Source organism: Homo sapiens, chromosome 7 (genome assembly GCF_000001405.40).
Source record: "Homo sapiens chromosome 7, GRCh38.p14 Primary Assembly".
Classification (NCBI taxonomy): Eukaryota; Metazoa; Chordata; class Mammalia; order Primates; family Hominidae; genus Homo; species Homo sapiens.
In genome coordinates, this window is record NC_000007.14 from 145,674,110 (window position 1) to 145,683,870 (window position 9,761).

At 33.2% G+C, this 9,761-nt stretch overlaps 1 long non-coding RNA gene across 2 annotated transcripts; it reads right to left on the minus strand.

Annotated features, from left to right (window-relative positions):
* Nucleotides 1-1,168: 1,168 nt before the first annotated feature.
* LOC105375553 (uncharacterized) lies at nt 1,169-7,281 on the minus strand. 2 transcript variants are annotated; one of them, NR_187966.1, is made up of 3 exons: nt 7,000-7,281; nt 3,757-3,871; nt 1,169-2,183 (listed from the first exon to the last, which is right to left on the minus strand). It is a non-coding gene; the product is annotated as an uncharacterized LOC105375553 (long non-coding RNA). The 2 variants fall into 2 exon arrangements; NR_187967.1 differs by lacking the exon at nt 3,757-3,871.
* Between the last annotated feature and the right edge of the window lie 2,480 nt (nt 7,282-9,761).

Sequence of the window (9,761 nt, forward strand, 5' to 3'; positions counted from 1 at the left end):
TCTTGGTCCTGGCAAATATGTAGTGGTATCTATTTATGGTTTTAATTTTTATTTCCATTAAGACTAATGAGATTGAACACATTTTCCTATACTTACTGGCCATGTGAATATCCTTTTAATCATTTTCTGTTCAAGTACCTTGCCCATTTTTCCTTTGGCATGGCTGCTTTTCTCTTATTCATTTATAAGAGTTCTTTATACATTCCCTAGACTATCTCCTTTCTTAGTAGTAGTCATTGCAATTATTTTTCTTCCAGTCTTTGGAGATACAATTTAGAATAATAAGAAAACTCATATGCTAAGAAATACATCTGAAATTAAGTTTAGAACACATACACACACAGCTGTAATAATTAAAGAAAATAATATTATCTATGTGAGACATGCTGTGTTCATGGTTTGGAAACCTACAACATGTAAAGATATCATCTTTCCCAAACATTATCTATAAATTCAATAAAGTATTGATCAAAATCTTGGCAGGTCTCTTTTAGAAATTGAAAAGCTAATTCCAAAATGTATATGGAAGCCTGCCAATCTTGAAAAAGATACCAGATATGAAGACCTACTCTAAAGCCTCACTAGCTTAGACAGTGTGATTTTGGCATGAACAAATACAAATAGAGCAAGGAAAAACTGCAGAGCTTAGTACCCAAGCCAGCACTCTTTTCCTCAGAGTAGTTTTCACAATTCCTAGAGATAACTGATTTGCAATTATTTGAACCTCTGTTTATATACAAATATTTGTTCTCCAAGCTTCGTCCAAATTCTGAACTCGTATTTTCTTCTAGTCTGTAATTTTCCCTAAATAAGATTCATTTAAGGCAGTTTCAAATAGTCCTTTGCATATGCCTATGACTCACAGCAAGGAATTTCTCTTTGAAGGCTACTGTGTAATATTTATTCCCAGAAGAATTTTCATAAATTTTATTTCTTAAATTACTTTAAGACAGAATTTAGCATGCGCAATGTCCAAAATACAGTATATTCTCTCTACTCCCTTGCAAGTACATTAATTCCCTTTTTAGTCACTGTGATACTTTGTCAGAGATTAGATTTGGTATCTTTCTGTTAGTTTAGAGGCATAATTGTAGTGATTAGGTGAGAGGAAGAAGCCGTTTTATAGGATTAGCAGTGTTCCTTATAAAAAAACATAGCATTTTGACAGATTTCTCTGTTTTCAACAAAGGACATTTTAATTTCCAAGGGCTAATGTTATAGAGAATATTACTGCCCATTCATAGAAAACAGCAGGGACCATTGTTAACAACATGCCTACTTTTGAAGACATTGTTCGGATTTTGAGTTTACTTGAAAAGATCATGCCAGTTTTGGATGGCATTTCCCAACAGGAAAAATCAATAACTCTGTTACAACCATCACTCATATACAGGTCAATTTTGAATACATTTTATTTCCTGCTGATAGATGTAATTAATTGTAAAAATAGTTTCACATTTCTCTTTATAACTAAAGGTGATGTACTGCTTAAATGATCTCAAAGGCATGAATTATCTTTTGAATATGCTAGATGGTTTTTAGAGTTTTTTTTTCTCAGCCAGTCTTCCCTTTTTCTTGTTTATGTTAAACTAAAGTGTTTGCATTATAAAAAAAATAGGTTTCTTTTTCTTCTAAGGATCAAGTGTAGGAACTAAAATGAAAGATGATCTATTCTGAATTACTTAAGAAAAGTGAAAAGATTTTTTACTAATGTTATTGAAATCTGTATTTTATCAATAAGTTTTTAATTTATAAATAAAAGGTTATTACAGTTCATGCAAATATTTTATATTTGTGTTAAGATAGTTGTGACAAACTCCCATTATTAACCACTTTAGGTTTTGCTTCAACAGTTACAAGCTGAAATCTCAATCTTCTTACGGCACTGACAAAGAATGAATGAGGCAGAAACAGTTGAGGTTTTGCTTTCCCAGGGTGAATTGCAGGCAGTGTCTCAAGGAGAAGGTGGTTGTAAAAAGGCTTGGCCATTTCCATCCAGTGTGGGGCTCCCTTAATGGCTCATATTTACTTTAGAGCTCCCCTTTGGACAAAGAGACTTTAGCCGGTCTTCACCATGGTTTAGTGTTTCTGCCAAATCCTGTGTCTCCTCTGTGTTACTACTCTCCGATAAATATTTTGTACTCTTATCTTCATTTCAGCATGTACTTCTTAGAGAAATCAACCTGTGATAAGGTAATTTTTAAAATATATATAGAATTATATTACAAATCAGAAACAGAGACAAATTAAAATTCAATAATGCTACACTTTAATCTAGAAAAATACATTTAGCTAAGTCATCATAGTTACACTGATTGCTATAAATCCTGCTGAGCATATTTAAAATGCTTATCATTAGTAGTTTTTAAAATGGGAGAAAAAAGGGAATTTTTCAAGGCAAAACACGTACATGCTGACTACACAATTTGCAATCAAACAGTGATTGTTACAATAGTCAGATAATAAGTGACCGCTGTTAAATATTACCTTTAATGTTGTCGATTGCTTTTTTGAGTAAATACTCTTTAGAAGAAAAGCAAGTTTATATCTTATTATCAGTAGAACAGTAAGTAATTGTATTAGTATGTTCTAGGAATGGTTGATGAAGGAAGGAAGAAAATTTCACAAATACTTGAATTATTAAAATAAGAAACTTTCCAAAATTTTTGCTGATAGATTTGACATAACTTTTGCTCAGTGATAACTGTAAATATGGAACTAAATTTTAACTATACAAGCATGCTTAAATTTCACAATCTTTGATTTAATCACAGGGAATCAAATTCAAAAATTCTATAGATAAATCAGCATCTACTCCAACGTATTGTAATTATATACAGAATGTTAATTTGTATGATTCCTGATTTTTGCCTCTTAATATGGATGTTATCTATAGCGTGGTCTTTAAAGTCAGCATTTTCAGAGATCTTCAAATACATAAAATATGTGAGATGCATATATAGCTTTATGAACACACTGCTGCTATTGTTTGAATGTGCCCGCCAAAAAGCATGTGTTGGAAACTTAATCCCCAGTGCAACAGTATTGAGAGGTGGGACTTTCAAAGGAGATTAGGTCATGAGGGCGCTTCCTTCATGAATGGATTAAAGTTGTTATTGAGGGAGTGTGTTCCTTATTTTGAGAGTGGGTTTGTCATGAAAGTGAGTTCAAGTTCAATTATACTGCTCTCTCTAATGTACTTTCTTGCCCTTCTGTCTTCTGCCATGGATGACACTGAAAGAAGTCCCTTGCCAGAAGCAGTGCCCTGGACTTTGGACTTCCCAGAATCCAAAACTGTAAGAAATCCACCTCTATTCTTTGTAAATTACCGAATCATAAGTATTCTGTTATAGCAACAAAAAATGGACTAAGTCATCACTAACATAAAACTCTTCATTAGTTTGTTTTGAAAGAGTTTAAGAGAATCCCTGGTTAGATCCAGAGGTTATAGCCTACAACTATTACTGTTGTTCCCCTTCTACCTACCTATATTTTGAGTTCTACAGCACAGTGCAGAGAAGTCATCCCAGGGAGCGCTAAATACTTGATGCTTTAATAATGTCAGAGTTGCTTGAACCAGAGCAACTCCATCTTGAATAGGGGCTGTGTAAAATGAGGCTAAGACCTACTGGGCTGCATTCTCAGGTGGTTAAGGCAGTGTAAGTCATAGGATGAGATAGGAGGTTGGCACAAGAACAGGTAATAAAGACCTTGCTGATAAAACAGTTTGCAGTAAAGAAGCCAGCTAAAACTCACCCAAACCAAGATGGTGATGAGAGTGACCTCTGGTTGTCCTCACTGCTACACTCCCAACCATCACTTTGACAGTTTACAAATGGCATGCCAATGTCAGACAGTTATGCTGCACGGTCTAAAAAGGGGAGGCATGAATAATCCACCTCTTATTTAGCATATCAAGAAATAACCATAAACATGGGCAACCAGCAGCCCCCGGCTCTGCTCTGTCTATGAAGTAGTCATTCTTTTATTCCTTTACTTTCTTAATAAACTTGCTTTCACTTTACTCTATGGACTCGCTCTGAATTCTTTCTTGTATGAGTTCCAAGAACCCTCTCTCGGAGGTCTGAATCTGGACCTCTTTCCTGTAACAATGGGATTCCAAAAAGTTTGTACTTTAAGAGCGATGATTTCTCACAGCTAAAATACTTATTTTATCTTTGCAGGCCTTTAGGATTTACAGCTCCATCTCAGTTTTTCAACTTCTTAAATGCTCATTATAGTTTTCTACCACTTTCAAGAAGCTTCCTCCTGCAATACAAGGTAGCATTTATCTTTCTCCTAGCTAGTCTTAGAATTTATTGTTTATGATATATACTTTAGCATTTAATTATATTCAAGTTAATACTTTCTTGCTGTATTTTTAGATTTTTCTGTAATTTTTAAAGTACTCAGTGTGTTATTTTTCCTAAAATGTTGTAACTTTTTAGAGATGAACTATGACAAATATTTATCTTGTATCAATTTTTCCCCCAAAGTATTGTAACTTCTAGCAGGGATGATCCATGAGTATGTTTAAAGTTTTGTAACTCTTTTATTAAATTGAACTGAGAGTAAATCTATTGTGGATAATGCTGTTCTTGGTGTTATCTTCAGTTAATATGGCTGAATGAATGGAGCGAGCCATTCAGAGATAGTGCATTTCAAATGTGTTTGGTTTCCATTAATAAAATTCAATATAGATATGAGACTCACTCTATTGAAAAATCTGAAGATGCAATAAAAGAATAAAATAAAACATATCTATTTTATTTTATAGCTTCGGAATTTGGCCATAGCTTTATTAGGAGCTATAAAAAATGGGAGAGCATTTTCAATGTATAGTTTTCTTAAACTAGGATATAATTTGGTTTCTTTTTCTTGATTCCTCTTCATCTCCCAAAATTACATCGGTGAAACAAATCTGATGTCCTGCATTGCCACACCAGGTTTCATCTTTCAGACTGAAGGAGCCAAGAACATTTGTGTGGGCTTAGTGAAATAAAGATGGATATAATTTGTTTGGCTGTAGCAGGTCTTGCAGAATCTATTTGCTGAGCGTTAAAAATCTTCAGATACTGTTCTAAGTGTTAGTAAAGAGACCAGGGGTACTAAAGAATAGTGGTACTTGTACATAGTCTCTCAATTTTATATTTAAATACTAATGATGTGTACGTATTAATTACAGTTCACATCAGTATTATATTTAATTCATTGATTTGTATTTTTGTGTAGTAGTTTATACAGATAAACATGTAACTTAAAAAATTATTCACACTTAACTTTAATTATGTGTGGATTTGTTTACATATTAAACAAATATTATTGAGTCCCTACTACCTGCCAAGCACTGTTCCAAACTTTTGGAATACAGTGGAAAATAAAAGAGAGGGAATAAAACTCTCTGTCTTCAGAGACTTTGATTGTTGAGTTCTTGAAAATCTAATGTTACAGACACTAGCATATAGTATTAATAGTTTTTATTAATATATAAGTAAGTAAAATTGACCTGTATAAGCAATCTTGTTGCCATACTACTCAAACAGTGCTAAATGTGAATTGTTTTAATCATCACATAGACATGGCATTTAAAATCCACCTGGTAATAGTTGATGTTTTTTCTTCATGCCTACTATTTGTGGGTAACAGGTGAGTAGTATGTAAAAACACCGTAGCATAGCACGGGCATCCATACCACATAAAAAGTACAAGATTTCCAAAAGAGATGATGGATGGATGGATAGATAGATAGATAGATAGATAGATAGATAGATAGATAGATAGATTCCACAATCACAGAAACATAAATATTTATATACTTATATAATCAACTGTGTGTGAATGTGTATCTTTGTGTCCCACAGGCTGATTGTATAGGAGCACAAATTAGAAACTAGGTGACCATCTCTCTTGGGAGACACCCCACTGATCACCACACAAGTATGCTGGCCTAAGGCATAACATTTTAAGAGAGCTGTGATTGCATACCTTCAGGCAAATAGGTGACAGATGCAATGAAAAAATAGATGGATTTATACAAATATTTCAAGAAAGTTGTCAGCTTTTCTTTTTTGCTGAGCAGCCTCAGGGAAAAATGGGAAATTACCAACTAAGATGGTGTTGTGAAAATCAACACAAAGGGAAACAAAGAGGGTCCTGCTAATCCGATAGCACACCCATCTAAACAACTGCATTAATGAGAAAGCAAGGTGCTCAATTGGGAGAGTGGCAGTGTATTTTGTAAGACATACCTTTCATGTTTAGATTTTAAATTAGCTATATTGCTTAGTTCTGTTTTCTAAGTCAAACAAAAATAATAGAATAATTGAGCTACCCAAAAAATAATTGTAAGGCATTTGGAGACAAGACAAGGTGATAATCCATTAGGGAGAGAAAATTTAACGTTTTCTAGCTCTGCAGAAACAGTGGATAGAAGACTAATTAGCAATTTAATACATTAATCAATATCTGAGTTCATTTTATATTGTCTTAAGATCAGTTGGTATCCTGTTCTTTCTTTTTAACATCCATAATATTTGACATCAGCCAACACTTGGACATGAGTTGGTTAATGCAATTTTTTCATAAGCAACGGTTATTAGTAATGTGCAAACTGCAAGAACAAAAACTGTCTTGGTTTTTAGTGTCAGGCTGAGAAAAATGCTCAGTATAAAATTTGTGGATGATAAAGTAGTCTCAGGGATCTGTTGTGAGCTCTAGGGCATAATGCGATGGGAAGAGTTTAGGATTTGCCGTAACAATTTCAGGGCTCAACAGCATATGTGCCACAGTTACTGATTGTAGTATACTGTACAATGCTGCTTAAATGAAAATGGCTGTACATACTTCAGAATATTTTCTTTTTGTAAAAGTGAGCATTTTATTTTATTTAGGTAAACACTTACATAGAAAAGTGCACATATCATTAGCATAGAACTTGAAGAATTTTACAAATTGATTTTTCTAAAAACCAGTAACCAATTTTAGAAACAGAGTACTTACCAACATCCCAGAAGCCTTTCTTGTGATCCCTTCCAGTCTCTACCTTCTTCCAAGGTTAGCTTCTAAAAGTTTATTCACTTTTTATAATTAAAGTGAAATTTGTTCCACATAAAATCAATCACTTTAAAATGCACAATTCAGTGGCAATTGGTACATTCACAGTGCTGTACTACCACCACCTTTATCAGATGTCAAAATATTTTCATCACCCCCAGAGAAAACCTTGTATCCATGAAGTAGTCACTTCTCATTCTTCCCTCTCTCCAGTCCCTGATAACTACTGGGACTGTTTTCTCTCACTGTGGATTTATCTATTCTGGATATTTCCAAGTTGTTTTCTCTCTCTGTGGATTTATCTATTCTGGATATTTCTCTCTGTTTTCTCTGTCTGTGGATTTATCTATTCTGGATATTTCCAAGCTGTTTTCTCTCTCTGTGGATTTATCTATTCTGGGTATTTCTCTCTGTTTTCTCTCTGTGTGGATTTATCTATTCTGGATATTTCCAAGCTGTTTTCTCTCTCTGTGTATTTATCTATTCTGGGTATTTCTCTGTTTTCTCTCTGTGTGGATTTATCTATTCTGGATATTTCCAAGCTGTTTTCTCTCTCTGTGGATTTATCTATTCTGGGTATTTCTCTCTGTTTTCTCTCTCTGTGGATTTATCTATTCTGGATATTTCCAAGCTGTTTTCTCTCTTTGTAGATTTATCTATTCTGGTTATTTCCCATGGACTCACACACTATGTGACCTTTCGTGTCTATCTTCTTTCACTTAGCATGAAGCTTTTGAGGTTCATCCATGTTGTAGTATTTATCAGTGCGGCAGTCTTCCCTTTTCATATCTGAATAATATTCTATTATATATACAGTTGACTCTTGAACAACATAGGGGTTGGGGCACTGACCCCCTGTGCGGTCAAAAATCTGCATGTATCTTTTGACTCCCCACCAAATTAACAACTAATGAACTACTGTTGACTGAAAACCTTACTGTTAACATAAACAGATGATTAACACATACTTTGTATATTGTATGTATTATACAACTGTATTCTTACAATAAAATAAGCTAGAAACAAGATGAGCTATTAAGGCAATCATAAGAAGGAGAAAATATATTTACTATTCATTAAATAGAAGTGGATTATTATAAAGGTCTTTATTCTCATCTTCACATTGAGTAGGTTGAGTAGGAGTAGGAAAAGGAGAGGTTGGTCTTGTTGCATGGGTGACAGAGGCAGTAGAATAGCTGCACGTTAGTGGCTCTTGGAGTTCAAACATGTTGTTCAAGGGTAGACTGTATATATCTGTATGCCACATCTATTTATTTGTTGTAGTTATCTATTTATTTGTGATTGTTATCTATTTGTTGATGGCTATTTAGGTTGCTCCCATCTTTTGGCTATTGGGTATGGTGCTGCCATGAACATTTGTGTGCAAGTATTTTTTGAATCTCTGTAACTAGTTCTTTTGGGTATATACCCATGAATAGAACTGCTGGGTGATATGGTAAATCTATATTTAACTTTTTGGAAAACTGTCAAACTATTTTCCACAGTAATTGCATTATTTTACATTTCTACCAACAATGCACAAGTGTTTAAAGTTCCACACACTAACCAACACTTATTTTCTGTAGTTTTGTTGTTGTTGTTATTGCTATCCTAAAGAGTATAAAGTGCTAAGTTATTGTAGTTTTGATTTGCACTTCCCTAATGACTAATGACATTGAGTATCATTTTATTTGCTTGTTTGCCCTTTGCATATGTTTCTTGGAGAAATTTATATTTAAGTCTTTTGTCTATTTTTAATTAAGTTGTTTGTGTATAGTTGTTTATATATCTAGATAGATCTAGATCTTTATATCTAGATCTATCTAGATATATCTAGTATCTAGATATATCTAGTATCTAGATATATCTAGTTCTTTATATATCTAGATACTAGTCTCTCATCAGATATATAATATGAAAATATTTTCCCCATTTTGTAGGCTCTATGTTCTCTTTCTTGGTAATGTTCTTTAATTCACAAAGTTTTTAAATTTGATGAAGTCCAATTTTTCAGTGATTTTTTTTGTTTGTACTTTTGATGTCATGTCAGAAAATCTTGTACCAAATCAAAGGTCATAAAAGTTTACTTGTATGTTTTCTTTTAAATGTTTTATAATTTGATTCTATATTAAGTTACCAGTCTATTTTGAGTTAATTTTGTATATTGTGTGTGGGCACATATCTATATTTTTTATATATGGTTATCTAGTTGTTTGTCCCATCACCATTTTTTGAAGAAACTATCTTTTCCCCATTGAATTCTCATGGCATATTTGCTAGAATCTATTGGCCATTTATGTATGGGTATATTTCTGAACTTTTAATTCTATTCCATTGATCTATACAGTACATCCATCCTTGTTCAAGTGCCACGCTGTTTGAATTTCTGTAGCTTTGGAATAAAAATGTTGATATTAGAAAGAATATGTCCTCTAGCTTTGTTCTTCTTGTTCAGTATTTCTTTAGCTATTTGGGTCTTCTTGCAATTTCATGTGAATCTGAGGATTGACTCTTTCATTTCTGCAAAGAGAAAAAACTTATTGAGATTTTGATTGGAATTTCAGTAACCCTGTAGGCCACTTTAAGTAGCATTGCCATCTTAATAATAAATCTTCTAACTCATAAATATATGTTGCCTTTCCACTTATTTGGATCATTAATTCTTTTCAAAGTTGTTTTGCAATTTTCAGTGTAACAGTTTTGCACAT